The sequence below is a fragment of the Homo sapiens genome, chromosome 18 (assembly GCF_000001405.40).
Source record: "Homo sapiens chromosome 18, GRCh38.p14 Primary Assembly".
NCBI lineage: Eukaryota > Metazoa > Chordata > Mammalia > Primates > Hominidae > Homo > Homo sapiens.
In genome coordinates this window covers 52150841-52168011 of record NC_000018.10, presented here as the reverse complement: position 1 = coordinate 52168011, position 17171 = coordinate 52150841, and the positions used below count along the sequence as shown (strand labels likewise).

The following is a 17171-nucleotide window of genomic DNA, read 5'->3' as shown; positions in this document are numbered from 1 at the left end:
AATTGGCTTTTATGATTAGCCAGTTCCCTATACCTGGTCCAGCCTGACTTCCCTCCACGACATGTGGTGTTAGTCCTGCTTTTGCAATCTACAGCCTTGAATTTCTATTCAGATTGCCCTATTTGCTAAGGTAATAAAATATTTTAAGGGAACTCTACCCATTCACAGCCCAGTTGTTCAGAGATGGATCTAAATCTCAATACTATTTCATTTCCTCCAAACTGTGCTGCTTCCTGTTTTCTTTTAGGATTTATTAAAAATAAAATGAATGATACTAAATCCTTTTCTTTAAGGCAAGTGGATATTTATAATTCTGGAATAAAGGTTACTTATACAGTGGGAATATTAGACATACGAATAGAGATGGATTCCAGGTCCTAGAGGGCTTCCACAGACTTTTAACTTTCTCTTGTTACAAATTGTTATAGAGTTTTCATTCATCAATGGATCCAGCCAGTAGGCAGCTCCAGATTTTCTGCAGTAAAGAGAAGTCTAGAAGGGGCTCAGAGACAGTAAGAGGGCAGGAGATTCATCTTAATACTGTGTTTTCATTGGAAGCAGATTAAGTTTGCTTATATTTTATATCAAAGATCAATAAAGATAACAAAGACTTCTAAGTATACCTCTAATCACATTTTGTGTAAAATTAATACTAGTCTTTCATGTCAAGTGGTATTGTTATTATCATTACCATTATTAACATATTTGAAGAGATGGAAAGATTGGGCAAGTTGAAGCCCCATCCTCCAGCCATTCCTTGGTTGACTATAAGGATCACTATCTTCCCCTAAAATACAGCCAAGATATGGTGTTCAGAAGCTATTGTTCTCTAGTAAGGTGGCAAATGCCAAGCTTAACATAATCTCTTCAATAATTTCTTTGATTTACAAAGACGCATAATTTCGGAAGGCCTGGAAGCCTGTCTTTCAAGATAACCTCTGGCTTGATGTTCACTGGTCATTCCAAGCTCATGAGATAAGTAAGAATATCGTGGGAAAATCAGTGTTGTCTAGACATTAGATAAGAAGAAAAGTATAAGATTGGCTACCTCAATATGCAACAAATATTGTTGGCACAACTTATCATGGGAGGCAAGCAGTTAAAAATGGAAAAAAATTGAGCCCCCACATCAACCTCCACTAAACCCAATATATATGTATTTGTAATTATCTTCCTGATCTTTCCCCAGTCTCTTTGGATTGAAAGTAAGTGCTATTTTCCTGACTAATAACAATGTAAAATATTTATCTAGCACTTAAACCTATCAGATGGCACTATTGTAAGAATTTTATGTTAATAAATCATTTAGTTTTCATAAAATCCTATAGCTAAGCTATTTTCATTTACATCATCATTTAAAGGAAATAGAAATACAGAGAGAATAAATATCTTGCCCAACGTCGCACAGCTATAAATTGCAGAGCCAGTAAGTGAAACTTAATAATCTGGCTCCAAAGCTGTGAGTTTGCCCACTACACTATGCTGCATCTCACTAGAAAGTTAGAACAGAAGGGATGGTGCTGTTTTTCTGGGTGTATATTTATCATTACACTAAGCATTCACATAGGGGTTTCAATCAGTTAAAGGCACAAATCAGGTAAATACATCATACTGAGCACTAGAGTGAAAGCAAATAAACACAATCTTGTTCTTGGTATGGTGGAGAGTATGTGGGGGGCAGTAACTTCCCTAAAATCTCTACCTTGGTGAACACTAAGTCATATTGTGTTAAGAGCTATATGAGAAGAGTGTTGAAAATGTGATGAGATACTGAGGCAGCATTCCTCATTAGAAAAACAAATTAATTATTGTATCCTAAATTTATATTTTTATTAATACGAGAGAGATTGATTACATTTTCATATGTGAGAGAATTTTCATTTCATTTTCAGTGACATATCTGTGGCCTATTTTTGTCCATTTTTAAAATTGAATTGTTGGCACATTTCTCTCATTTTTAATAGTTCTTTATATTTTAAAGATGTTAACTTTCAGTCCATTCTATTACAAATACTGTGTCCCATCTTGTCATTTTTCTTGTTATTATGCATATGGAGTATTTTGTTTTCATGATTAGAAAAGAATTTTGCCTTTCTCCAGATATAAAAGAATTCAGCCATTACATCATGTTTTCTCATTTTGCTTGTATGGTTTAATACTTTTATCTTTAAATACCTAATCCATTTGGAATTTATCCTAGTGTGTAATGTGAAAAATGGATCCAACTTGATGTATTTAATATATATATTCACTTATCTCAAAACCACTTATTACAAAATCTATAATTTTATCTATCAAGTCAGAGATTGCCCTTATTGCGTACTTGATTTCCATATGTGATTGGGTCTAATTTTTGGACTTTTCTTTTTGTCCGATTGTTATGTCTGTCTAGTCTTCTACCAACACTACACAGTTTTTAACATATGGGCTGTAGCACATTTTAATTTATGGTAGAATTCTTCCCTGTCATTACCCTTCCTTGCCACGTTTTCTTGATTGTTCCTCTGTGTGTGCAAATTTTTTTTCTTCTTTTATTGTTCTATGTTATAACTTAATTTTTATTCAGAGTCCTTATACTTTAGGAATGCTGTGGTTGCTTCTAAGTTTTAGGGGCTCATATAGGGATAGGGTACTGTGGTGCCTCTGTGTTTGAGTTATCTGTACAAGCAAGAACACTCAGACCTACGTTTCTCCATTTTTATTCCTCAGCCATAAGTATACACTGGTCACTCTTGAGATAGTTCGTGTTCCTATCCACAAAACTCCTTCGAGTCTCTTGTCATCTCTGCTGTGGCCAGCGCAGGCTGAAGCATAGGTGTAAAGCTGCAGCTTCTGCTCCACCTTGGGGAAAAGAAAACTTTGTATATTGTGTAGGACTCTGTCCACCTTCACTGATAACACATTCTTGACTCTCACTGATAGTGTTCTTCTTCCTCAGCCCACCTTATGAACATCCTGTTCTGCAATCAGGTCCCAGATCTCACATTCTCAAAGGTTCTCAATTTCTCTTTCTTTAGTCACTCTTACCATTACTTTCTTTTTCCTTTCCACCCATGTGATTCTCTTTCTACAATGATGGGGAGTAGTCATGGAACACCACTTTCTTTCTTCCACTGCTCCCAACTATTTTATTCAAAATACTCTAAATTAAAAAAAGAAATTAAAACTTTTGGGACACATAAGTCAGACTTTTAGGTCGTTTTGTTCTATGTTCTGTCACATACCTTTACTAAAGTGATGTTCACAAAGTTAAGGGTTTGTTTGTTTTTTTTCCTTGAAGGAGGAAAAGAATAGGAGGAAAAAAAAACTATGTAGTTACAATTTCTGGTAGAAATGGGAATGTGTGATCCACATACAGGATTAAAAGCAGGCAACAGAAATGGCCTTTAAGAGAATTCAGATTATTTACTTAACATACGAAGACTTCACAGCAGCTATGAATATATATATTTCCTTTTTGGAGACAGAGTCTCACTCTGTAAACCAGGCTGGAGTGCAGTGGCATGCTATCAACTCACTGCAACCTCCAGCTCCTGGATTCAAGCAATTCTTGTGCCTCAGCCTCCCAAGTAGCTGGAACTACAGACATGTGCCACCACACCCAGCTAATTTTTGTGTTTTGATTAGAAACTGGGTTTCGCCATGTTGGCCAGGCTGGTCTCAAACTCCTGGTCTCAAGTGATCCACCTGCCTCGGCTTCCCAAAGTGCTGGGATTACAGGCATGAGCCACCGCACCCCGCCTATAATAAACATTTTCAAGGAACTAGAGGAAACCATGCTTCAATAAGTAAAAGAAGGTAAATTGACAATGTCTCACTGAATAAAGACTATCAATAAAGATATTGAATTTATAAAAGAAAACAAAATGAACATCCTGGAGTTGAAGAGTACAATAATTGAAATAAATTAACTAGATGGGCTCAACAATAAATTTTAACTGGCAGAAAAAAGAATCAGAGAACTTGGAAATAGATTGATAGAGATTATGCAGTCTGAAGAACAGATAGAAACAAAAAGAATGAGGAAAAGTGAACATAGCATCAGAGAAATGTGGGACATCATTAGGCACATCAACATATATGTAAAGTTAGAACCAAAAAGAAGAGAGAGAAAAGAGCATTATATATATATAGCAACAGAAAAAATTTTCCAAATTTGAAGTTAAAAAACTTCACGTAAAATAAATTCAATGATATTTACACCTAGACACATTATAGCAAAAATGCTGAAAGACAAAGACAAATAAAATATTTTGTAAGCAGTAAGAAAAAATTAGTCATCACATGTAAGGAAACTCTTAATAAAATTAACAGCTAACTTCTCCCCAGAAACAATGGAGGCCAGGAGGCAATGGAATGACATATTCAAAGTGCTAAAAGGGTTATGTATTCATTTCAATCACTAACATTGTACCCCAAAATTGCAGGGTACAATTTCAATATAAAAATCAACTGTATTTCTATATAAAATTTATTGTATTTCTATGCACCAGCAATGAACAATCTAAAAATATAATTAAGAAAACAACTTGGCCAGGTATAGTGGCTCATGCCTGTAATCCCAGCACTTTCAGAGGCCGATTACTTGAGGTCAGAAGTTCGAGACCAGGCTGGCCAACATAGTGAAACCCCATCTCTACTAAAAATACAAAAATTAGCCAGGTGTGGTGGCACGTGCTGGTAGTCCCAGCTACTTGGGAGGCTGAGGCAGGAGAATTGCTCGAGCCCAGGAGGCGGAGGTTGCAGTGAGCCGAGATCACACCACTGCACTCCAGCCTGGGTCACAGAGGGAGACTCTGTCTCAAAAAAGAAACAAACAAGAAAACAATTCTATTTACAATAGCATAAAGAATAAAATACTTAGAAATAAGTTTAACAAACAAAGCGCCAACTTATGCGCTGAAAACTATAAAATAATCACTGAAATTAATTTACAAAGACCTAAATAAATGGAAATGCATCCACATTAATGTATCAGGGACTTAATATTGTTAGGATGGCAAAACTCCCCAAATTGATCTATAGATTCAATGCAATCCTTACCAAAATCCTATCTGAGGTGAATTTTGTTTTTGGCAGAAACTGACAAGTTGATTTTTAAATATCATATAAAAATGTAAGGGCCACCCAGAATAGCCAAAGCAAACTTTAAAAAAACAAACATTGAAAAACTCACATTTTCTGATTTCAAAACTTAATATAATGCTACAGTAATCAAGACAATGTGGTACTGCCAAAATGATAGGCATATGACTCAATGAAATATTATTAATATTTCAGAAATAAACCCTTTTATGGTACACTGATTTTTAATAAGGGTACCAAGTTAATTCAATGGGAAAAGAATAGTCTGTTCAATAATGTTGCCAGTACAACTGGATATCCATACGCAAAAACATAAATTTGAAAAATTTGAATCCCCACCTCATGCCATACAAAAAAAATAAATTCAAGGTTCACAGACCCTATAGAAAAGCTATAAACAATAAATATAAAATTCTTGGAAGAAAATACAGGAGTGAATATTTACAACCAAGGGTTAGGCAATGGTTTGCTAGACATGACACCAGAAGTACAAACAACAACAGAAAAGATAGATAAATTTGACTTCATCAGTATTAAAAATTTTTGTGCTTCAAAGGATACCACTGAGAGGCCAGGCACAGTGGCTCATGCCTGTAATCCCAACACTTCAGGAGCCTAAGGTGGGAGGACTGCTTGAGTCCAGGAGTTCAAGACCAGCTTGTGAAACATGGCAAAATCTCATTTCTACCAAAAATACAAAAATTAGCCAGGCATAGTGGCACACACCAGTTGGCCTAGTTACTTGGGAGGTTAAGGTGGGAGGATCTCTTGTGCTCAGCAGGCAGAGGTTGCACTTAGCCGATATGGTGCCATGGTATTCCAGCCTGTTTGACAGAGCCAGACCCTGTCTCAGAAAAATAAAATATAAAAAGGATACCACCAAGAAAGTGAAAAGACAACTCACAGAACGAAAGAAAATACTTGCAAGTCATATATTTGATAAGGGACTTACATCTAGAATATTTAACTCTTATAACTCAATTATAAACAGAAAAGTAGTTCTATTGAAATTTGGCAGTGTTAGCTTTGCTGAGCTAAAAAGAAATGGCAATGAATTTTAGTAGATATTTCTCCAAGGAAGATATACAAATAGCTAATAAGCACATTAATATCATTAGTTACCAGGGACCTGCTACCCCAAAGCATAGAGATGCCATTTTATATCCACTAGAATAGCTGCAATGAAAAGATAGATATTAACAAAGTAAGGTACCCTGGAATGATGGCTCATGATTTCAGAGTAAAGACACACAGTAAGTACATATGGTGTGCAAGTATCTATGTAGATTCATGTGTGTATGTATAATACACAAATACATACATTTATGTGGAAGAATTCTAGACATTAAAAGCTAAAAAATGTGACTAGCACATAAGTAATCTTAACTATGAAGACTCTAATTTGACAATGTAGGGCCAGAAATATGTATGCAACTATTAACAACAGCATTATCATTAATAGCCCAAAAGTAGAAATAGTGTAAATGTCTATCACTGGACAAATGGATAAACCTAGTGTGATAAATCCATACAATAGAATACCATTCATTTATAAAAAGAAAAAAGCTGCTAATATATGCTACATAATGGGTGGACCTCAAAAACATTATGCTAAGTGAAAGAAGTCAAACACAAAAAAATACATAATGTGTGATTCCATTTATATGAAACGTCCAGATAAGGCAAACCTATAGAGAGTAGATTAATGGCTCTCTGAGCTAGGGGATGGGATTGAGTACTGACTGCAAACAAACATAAGATATATTGGGGTAATAAAATATTCTAACCTGGTTTGAGTTGATGGTTGTAAAAGTCTGTAAATTTCCTAAGAATCATTGAACTGTACACTTAAAACAGGTGAATTTAATGGCATGTACATTATGCTTTAATAAATCTAGTGAGAAAGAGAGAGAGATTCAATAAGATGTTCATCCAATGTCAATTGACACTGAGTACCCTGGAGCTGGCTCAGGAATTCAGCTAGCTGAAGCAATGCAGCTGTGTCAGGCTGCTACTTTCTTAATTTGGGCTGAGTCACTTCCACTCCACCCAGATACATAAGATTCATAGCATTCCTGCCAGCACTCACAGTCTTTTTACCTGTAGGCTAGCAGTGTATGACAGATGCTGACTCATTCACTCGCCAATAGGCTAATCAGCATTGACAATCAGCAATTATACTGCGTTAAGCTCCCAACTTTGTTCTTCAAAGTTGTGGGTAGCTCTAATTTCATTTGCAGCTATGAAGTAGGGCTTTACTATAGGTATCACTCTTGACTTTGACAGAATATTTGTCAGGGGTACCTAAACACCAAGGACAGGACAAGGTCACCAGAGAGTATCCCTGGACAAGGTTAGTCTACAGAGGGAGAAGTTATGCTCATAAATTGAAACAAGGTAAGCATATGTTATCTGGTGAATGTAAAGAATTCTGTTTCTCAGCTTCCTCTCTTTGGTTTTTATAATTAGCCACTTCTAGGGCCACCTGAATTTATCATTTGTGAAGAGAATAAATGCAAACCAAGTCTCCAAATTATGCTGGCTGCACAATCTCTAAAAAATAGCTATTTCATGAGTCTCTATAAAAAATGTTCCTGCTGTAGGATACAAAATCAGTGTGCAAAAATAACAAGCATTCCTATATGCCAATAATAGACAAACAGCCAAATCATGAGTGAACTTCCATTCACAGTTGCTTCAAAGAGAATAAAATACCTAGGAATCCAACCTACAAGGGATGTGAAGGACCTGTTCAAGGAGAACCACAAACCACTGCTCAATGAAATAAAAGAGGACACAAACAAATGGAAGAACATTCCATGCTCATGGATAGGACGAATCAATATTGTGAAAATGGCCATACTGCCCAAGGTAATTTATAGATTCAATGCCATCCCCATCAAGCTACCAATGACTTTCTTCACAGAATTGGAAAAAACTACTTTAAAGTTCATATGGAATCAAAAAAGAGCCTGAATTGCCATGTCAATCCTAAGCCAAAAGAACAAAGCTGGAGGCATCACGCTACCTGACTTCAAACTATACTACAAGGCTACAGTAACCAAAACAGCATGGTACGGGTACCAAAACAGAGATATAGAATAATGGAACAGAATAGAGCCCTTGGGAATAATACCTCAAATCTACAACCATCTGATCTTTAACAAACCTGATAAAAACAAGAAATCAGGAAAGGATTCCCTATTTAATAAATGGTGCTGGGAAAACTGGCTAGCCATATGTAGAAAGCTGAAACTGGACCCCTTCCTTACACTTTATGCAAAAATTAATTCAAGATGGATTAAAGACTTAAATGTTAGATCTAAAACCATAAGAACCCTAGAAGAAAACCTAGGCAATACCATTCAGGACATAGGCACAGGCAAGGACTTCATGACTAAAATACCAAAAGCAATGGCAACAGAAGCCAAAATTGACAAATGGGATCTAATTAAACTAAAGAGCTTCTGCACAGCAAAAGAAACTACCATCAGAGTGAACAGGTGACCTACAGAATGGGAGAAAATTTTTACAATCTACCCATCTGACAAAGGGCTAATATCCAGAATCTACAAAGAACTCAAACAAATTTACAAGAAAAAAATCAAACAACCCCATCAAAAAGTGGGCAAAGGATATGAACAGACACTTCTCAAAAGAAGACATTTATGCAGACAACAGACACATGAAAAAATGCTCATCATAACTGGCCATCAGAGAAAGGCAAATCAAAACCATAATGAGATACCATCTCATACCAGTTAGAATGGCGATCATTAAAAAGTCAGGAAACAACAGGTGCTGGAGAGGATGTGGAGAAATAGGAACACTTTCACACTGTTGGTGGGACTGTAAACTAGTTCAACCATTGTGGAAGACAGTGTGGTGATTCCTCAAGGATCTAGAACTAGAAATACCATTTGACCCAGCCATCCTATTACTGGGCATATACCCAAAGGATTATAAATCATGCTGCTATAAAGACATATGCACACGTATGTTTCTTGAGGCACTATTCACAATAGCAAAGACTTGGAACCAATCCAAATATCCATCAGTGATAGACTGGATTAAGAAAATGTGGCACATATACACCATGGATATGCAGCCATGAAAAAGGATGAGTTTATGTCCTTTGTAGGGACATGGATGAAGCTGGGAACCATCATTCTGAACAAACTATCACAAGGACAGAAAACCAAACACCACATGTTCTCACTCATAGGTGGGAACTGAACAATGAGAACACTTGGACACGGGCGGGGGGAACATCACACACAGGGTCCTGTTGTGGGGTCAGGGGAGAGGAGAGGGATAGCATTAGGAGATATACCTAATATAAATGACAAGTTAACGGGTGCAGCACACCAACATGGCACACGTATACATATGTAACAAACCTGCATGTTGTGCACATGTACCCTAGAATTTAAAGTATAATTAAAAAAAAGAACTTTCCCCTTAGAAAATAAATAAATAAATAAATAAATGAAAAAAATATTCCTGCTGTAGAATAAAAGAGCAAGAAATTTCCCCAATTTTTTTCAAGAGAACAGTAGTTTAAGGAGTGCATTTAAGGAATAGGAAGGATCTTTTTCCACATACACTAAGACTGGGCTCAAGAGGTTCTGAAGAGCTTAGATACTTCTAGTGATGCTTTTTCACATTTTTAATGTCCCTGGGAACCAGGAGTTTATCAAGTTCAAAGCTGTACTCCCAAGACAGACATAATGTCAAGAACATAATTACATTAAATAATGTTTTTATTATATGATTGAGTAACATATTAAGTAAGTTACAGAGGCTTTTACAGACATTTCAAGAGCTAAGAGAAAGCTCCTAAGCCAGATGAAATCCCGGAGCTAAAGGTACCTGCAAAGGCAAGCGCCAGAGTCATTATAAGCAAGAACAACAGGAGAAAGATCCACAGTTTCTTTCTAGCAACTATGGATGGTTAAGAGCAATACTTATTAGAGGGCGACGAGAGACCACATGAGCACTTCAGATGTGTAGGTTCATAACGTCCCTCTTCTTTTCAGGCTTTCCTATGATATTTTGTAGTATGCAATGCTGTGCAGCATACTAGGGTGGCTGGACTTTGTTTGACAAAGAGGCTAGAGCCAAGTGAAATTTGATGTTCTTTCCTAAAAGAATACATGGGATCTTCATGATCTGAACATCTCCACGGCAGAAAGTATAGCTTAGAACACTATATAGCTTGCAAATAACTCTCAAGGACAAATCTTACTAGCTCATCATAAAAAGCCTAAATAGTAGGGAAGATATTATTCCTATTTTACAGTTAAGGAAACTGAAATCAAAAGAGATTAGGAGACTCTCCCAGGAAGTAGCAAAGCCACAAATTTAATCCAGATCTGCTTATTGCAAAGACAGTATAAATTCTTCCTTATAATACACCCTAATGGGAGGCACACAGCAGCTGGCTCTCCAGATGAGGCTGCTTCCATCAAAGCGGACTTGTTTGTTTTTCTTCTTTTCTTTGTTTTGCTTGAAGTGATTTTAGCTCAGCCAAAGAAGCAGACTCACAGAGTGCCATGAGCTATTTGTACCATGGTCACCTATATCAGAAAATGGCAAGGACTCCAAATATTAGAGCAAGAAGGGACATAAAGTTCTCTGGGCCCAGGCTCTGTATGTCACAGGTGAGGAAACTGCAGCCTAATGGACCCATGAGAGATAAGGATAAAGATAGCATGAACCTCAGAGGCCAACTGAGATGGTGACTGACATCCGAGTGTCTGTTCCACAGCCCAATACAATCTTCTCATCTAAAAGCAAACAGCACATGCTCTCAGGAGGGAAATAAGATAGAGCATTTTATTATAGTCTCTAAATTATGATTCTCTATTATTTTTACTAGGACTGTCAGCCTGAGTTGTCATAACTGCATTATAATCTCTTTTAGGACAGAGCCTAAGTAGAATGCCTTATTCACTTACCCCAGAAATTGCTAGTGTAAATGCAAATTCTTAGTGAGAACTTCATGAGCAAATCAAAACCTTCACCATACATGGCTAGGGTTAAGGAGAATGCTAACAAAATATGCATTCATTAAAAATTCAAATACAGCAAAGCAATATTAATCTTTAAAAGTATTTTTCAAAATGCTGCCAAAAGTAATACTGAAAATAAAGTCACCTTTGAGCAAAATTAGAGCTTGCAAAGCCATTTTTCCAATCTTGAAAATTCTAATTGATGTAAACCCAAAAGAACTGCAGCTCAGCAAGGTTTAGCTACACTTAAACACTCAGAAATTGCACTGTGCCATAGAGTTTGACTTCCTTAAACTCTCTGCAGGTTTCACCGGCAATAAGTAATGGGCAGGTCTTTTGTTGTTTTCATTTTCTGTGACTCTTCCATTTTCTATTGAACCAAATTTTGCTTTCTCAAAAACACCTATGAATATTTGGTACCACTAATTGGCAGCTTCAAGAATGGAATGGAATTGTTTGAGGAGGGATGGCCTGGGAAGAAGGAAAGCATTTCATGTGTCACAACTCATTACAAACCCAAGGAATAAATATTTCCTTATTGGTAAAATAAGGGAGTGGCCCTGCATACTCTAAGGCACCATCCAGTTCTCAAGTTTCAAAGGCTATGATTAAAACTAAACATTGATTCAATCAAGTGATATCATTTATTAAGCTAAATAAGAAATACTAAGCAGAATCAGCAGCTAAGCTCACTACAGAATTGTTTTTAAAACATATAAACCTCCACACTGTCAGATAATCTCATTTTAATTTGTTTCAGGGCTGCCTGGCTAGCAAGCCCCAAAATGAAATCTTATTTCATGTATAGCAGCAGATACAATTGTCTGCATTCACTTATTTGCCATTAGAGCTGGATAATTTCTTGTTCTTGGACTGCAGCTATAGTTCCCTTTGATATCTTGCACACACCTCACTAGGTGCAAAATCTTCACAGAGAAAAGAGGAAAGACAGGAAAGACAATAAAGTAAAGAAAAGGAAAGGGAGCCCACACTGTCTCCAAAAAGACATATAATAAAATTCAGTATTTTTTATGTCATCATATAAAGAATGACTTGTATATTGATCTTACTCTGTTGTTGCATTGATTAGGATCAAAGCCTCCCTTGCTGCAATGAAACCAAGTTCTGTAAACATAAGTTTCAGTCATCAGCTATATTAATTTACAGGAAAATACAATGACTAGGTGAAAAAATGCACATAACTATTTTTAGTAGAACCGAGCCTAACAGAATTTCTGATCCTATCAAAGTTCTAGTAGAAATTAGTCATGTAATTTAAAAATTTAACACTTGAATAACATCTGCTCTGTGCTAAGCCCTGTTCTAAGTCCTCTGTACATATTAAATCTCACAACAACCCAATGACATAAATGTAATTTTTATCTCCATTTTACTCACGACAAAAACTTAGACACAGAATTTCAGGGGCCAGGCATAGTGTCTCACGCCTGTAATCGCAACACTTTGGGAGGCTGAGGCAGGTGGTGGCACATGCCTGTAATATCAGGGAGGCCGAGGCATGAGAATCGATTGAACGTGGGTGGGGGGAGATGGAGGTTGCCGTGAGCCGAGATCGCACCATTGTACTCCAGCCTGGGCAACAGAGTGAGATTCTGTCTTAAAAAAAAAAAAAAAAAATTAGAGACTGTATTACGTTGAATAGTATTCCTCCTCAAATTCCCAAATTCATATCCACCCAGAACCTGGGAATGTAACTTTATTTGGAAGAAGGGTCTTCGCAGGTGTAATCAAGTTAAGATGAAGTCATACTTGATTATGGTGGCCTTAAATCCAGTAGGACTGCTGTCCTTATAAAAAGGGGAAAATTTGGAAACGGAGAAACACAGAGCACCAGGTAAAGGCAGAGGCAGAGGTTGAAGTGATGTGTCTACAAACCAAGCAACACTAAGGATTGTGAGCAACCAGCCGAAGCTGGAAGAAAGGCCTGGAACAGCTTTCTCAAGCACTTTCAGAGGGAGGAGCATGGCCCTGCTGGCTTCTTTTAACTTCAGGCCTCCACAATGATGAGAGAATAAATTTCTGTTGTTTAAGCTTCTCAGTTTCTGGTCATTTGTTAAGGCAACCACAGAAAACTAATAAAGGGATGTTCCCTAACATTTATTCAGCTCTGATTACAACTCATGACAGTCCAGCTCCAGAGTTCGCAAGCCTAACCAGCATTCTTCACGGTGTCCTATAAGTCACCGTATTGGCAGTGGATGGAAAAATGGGTAGAGACGATCGTAATTCTGTAAGTTCACCTTATTTTATGTCCTCAGAGGTAGTACAGATTTTTTTTTTTTTTTTTTGAGACGGTCTTGCTCTGTTGCCCAGGCGGGAGTGCAGCGGCAGGATCTCAGTTCACTGCAACCTCCGCCTCCCGGGTTCAAGCGATTCTCTTGTCTCAGCCTCCCAAGTAGCTGGGACTACAGGTGTGCACCACCACGCCCAGCTAACTTTTTGTATTTTTAGTAGAGACGAGGTTTCACCGTGTTAGCCAGGATGGTCTCAATCTCCTGACCTCGTGATCTGCCTGCCTCGGCCTCCCAAAGTGCAGAGATTACAGGCATGAGCCACTGCGTGCCCGGCTGGTAGTTAAGATTAATTGAGGTGAACCCAGGTTATCTTTCTAACAACTCCCACTACTACCTTAACCTCTCTTAGTTGTTCATCAAGTTCTTCATCTATAATATGGTGTATTAGCACTTACTCCCTGGATTTGTTGAGGATTATTGAGTTAATACTTCAATAATGCTTATAAGAGAGGCTGGCATGTATTAAATGCTTAATAACTGTTATTGATTGGCATTATTATTGCTATCATTATCATAATCACCACTATTAAAAAGAATAAATCCCACCTGCTTCAATAGATGGTTGAGATTTTCTCAGACCTGGGATCACATCTTGTTTCTGCTGCCTTTTCTTGTCTGTGTAGCTTGAAGAAGCTACTCAATTTGTCTGAGTCTTTTTATTGGACATTGGAATATTAATGTATGTCCAATTTTTGAGTCACTGTGAAATTTAGAAATTATTTGTATAGGCCGGGCATGGTGGCTCACACCTGTAATCCTAGCACTTTGGGAGGCTGAGGCAGGCTTGAACTCAGGAGTTCGAGATCAGTCTGGGCAACATGGTGAAATCTGTCTCTACAAAAAAGTACAAAAACTAGCCTGAAGTGGTGGTGTGCACCTGTAGTCCCAGCTACTGAGGAGTCTGACGTGGGAGAATCACTTGAGCCTGGAAGGCAGAGGTTGCAGTAAGTCTAGATCCCATCACCATACTCCAGCCTGAGCGACAGAGCCAGACCCTGTCTCAAACAAACAAAAATGTGAAAAATAAATAATTTGTATAAGTGTTCAACTCAGTGTTAGGAATATAGTAAGCAGAAGCTCACAATGAATGGTAGTTATCTTACTGTTATCATAGACTACTCCATTACCCAGTAATCTTTTCAGTCAAGAAATGCCTTCATTGTAGGCCAGGTGCGGTGGCTCATGCCTGTAATCCCAGCTCTTTGGGAGGCCAAGGCCGGCGGATCACCTGAGTTCAAGAGTTCAAGACCAGCCTGACCAACATGGAGAAACCCTGTCTCTACTAAATATACAAAATTAGCCAGCCATGGTGGTGCATGCCTGTAATCGCAACTACTCAGGAGGCCGTGGCAGGAGAATTGCTTGAACCCAGGAGGTGGAGGTTGCAGTGAGCTGATATCACACCATTGCACTCCAGCCTGGGCAACAAGAGCGAAACTCTGTTAAAAAAAAAAAAAAAGAAAAGAAAAGAAAAGAAAAAGAAATGCCATTGTTTCTCTAACCCGGATCATTCTAACTGCAGCTTAGGCATTTTCCCTATTTTTCTACCCTCAGTGATAATGAAGGAGATTAGATTTTTGGTTTTTGAAGAAAAAACTTTCCCAATCTCTAGCTTGAATGAACATCACAGGTAAAGGTAAATATTTCTACAAAACATGCATTTTTCTCTACATATTTGAACCTACATTTAAGCAAGACAAAACTGAGCCTTTAAAAACCATCTTTGTGAAGGTGAACATTAAAATCTCTTCTGGGAAGATAATGAGATGGATGAACTAATGAGAAATCTCTTTCGCTTGCCTCATGAAATATGGGTTTAATATTATTTTTCATTTTGTCTAGCATTTCTACCATCCCATCCCCTTACCTTCCTATTTCAGTGTCTTTATGGATTAATCCTTTTATTTATTTTTAATTTTACATATACATTTGGATAAATGGCTATGTAGGTGGTGAGATGAAGAGTTAATGAGAGGAGTTGTTGCCGATAACCAGGAGGAGTAAAACCTTTAATCTCTGTCAGGGATATAAGGTAATTTTGCTGCAGGAGTGATGTTATAATGAACACCAAAATAGGATTTCCATTATACCTTTTTCTCCCCACAACACCCTCTCTCCTCCCATTTTGCATTGCTATGCGAATGCTTAACTCAATTCTGCAAAGAAATGGTCTTCTTTAACTCCATCTTGTATTATAAAGAATGTCCCACACACAAAACCCTGTCATAGGCAGGGAGGGAAGTCTCAATAATCCTCAATCTCTGGAAATTCTTACAGGCCCTCCCCAGTGTCTGTGGGTGTGCTGGCAGGCTTACAGCTCAGGCAGCCAAGTGGAAAATAATAGAAGTAGGGTATTAAAGAAACAGAAAGAGAAAATGAAACTGTTTTAGTTATTTGTGGTCTTCACCAAATATTTCTAGGCCATTCCTTTTCCGGGCTTATAATAGGACTGTACTTTCTTTCTTGTTTGTTTGTTTCCAAGATGGAGTCTTGCTCTGTCACCCAGGCTGGAGTGCAGTGGCATGATTCCGGCTCACTGCAACCTCCACCTCCCGGGTTCAAGCAATTTTCCTGCCTTAGCCTCCTAACTAGCTGGGATTATAGGCTTCCACCACCACAACAGGCTAATTTTTGTGTTTTTAGTAGAGATGGGTTTCATCATGTTGACCAGGCTGGTTTCGAACTCCTGACTTCGTGATCCGCCTGCCTCAGCCTCCCAAAGTGCTGGGATTACAGGCGTAAGCCACTGCACCTGGCCAGGACTGTATTTTCTAAGCAGTTGCGTGAGGCCACGTGAAGACCTCTGACTGGTAAGAGGTCATGTGTGCCATTTCCAGGTTAAAACACTTAATTTGAATGTGAGACCTTTAGGAACTCTCTTTTTTCCCTCCTCTATGGCCACCAGCATGGGAGAGAGCAAAGGGAATAACTAGGTGAAGAAGCCAATAGTACTGTGAGTTTTCTGTACAAGATTCTAGGTCCCAGAACATGGGCAAAGTAGAGTTCCAAAGGATACCAACTATAAGCCTGTGCTATATGAGACAAGTAAATCTCCACCACTCTTAATCACTGGGATTTGGGAATTGTTTGATGTGAAGCATAATAGTCCAGTCCATCCTTATTCTACAGGGAATAATAACAAAAGTAAATGTTGATTCCTCTAAGAACTAAGACTTGAACTACCATTCCACCCAGCAATCCCATTACTGGGTATCTACTCAAAGGAAAATAAATCATACTACCAAAAGGGCACATGCACCCACATGTTCCTTGCAGCACTATTTACAATAACAAAAACATGGAATCAACCAAACAAGTATCCATCTACAATGGATAGGATAAAGAAAATGTGGTATATATACACCCATGGAACACTATGCAGCCACAGAAAAGAGTGAAATCATGTCCTTTGCTGCAACATGGATACAGCTAGAGGCCATTATCCTAAGTGAACTAATGAAGAAATAGGAAAGCAAATACTTTATGTTCTCATGTATAAGTGAGAGCTAAACATGGGGTACACACAAACATAAACATGGGAACAATAGATACTAGGAACTAATAGGGGAGAGAGGGAGGAGGGAAAAGGCTGAAAAACTACCTATTGAGTACAATGCTCACTACCTGTGTGACAGGTTCAGTCATTCTCCAAACCTCAGCATCATGCGATGTATCTTTGTAACAAACCTGCAAGTATACTCCCAAATTCTAAAATAAAAGTTGGAAAAAAAAAAGTAAATGTTGGCATTCTGAAACA

At 37.9% G+C, this 17171-nt stretch overlaps 1 long non-coding RNA gene across 4 annotated transcripts in view; it reads right to left on the bottom strand.

Annotated features, from left to right (window-relative positions):
* LOC105372121 (uncharacterized) overlaps positions 1-17171 on the bottom strand; it is a 175442-nt gene that overhangs the window by 55685 nt on the left and 102586 nt on the right. Inside the window, exon 5 of one of the 4 annotated variants that reach the window (XR_935474.2) lies at positions 2701-2841. The exons of the other annotated variants lie outside the window; for them this stretch is intronic. This is a non-coding gene — a long non-coding RNA (uncharacterized LOC105372121). Of the gene's footprint in view, positions 1-2700; positions 2842-17171 lie in introns of those variants that run through there. 4 annotated transcript variants of the gene reach the window in all.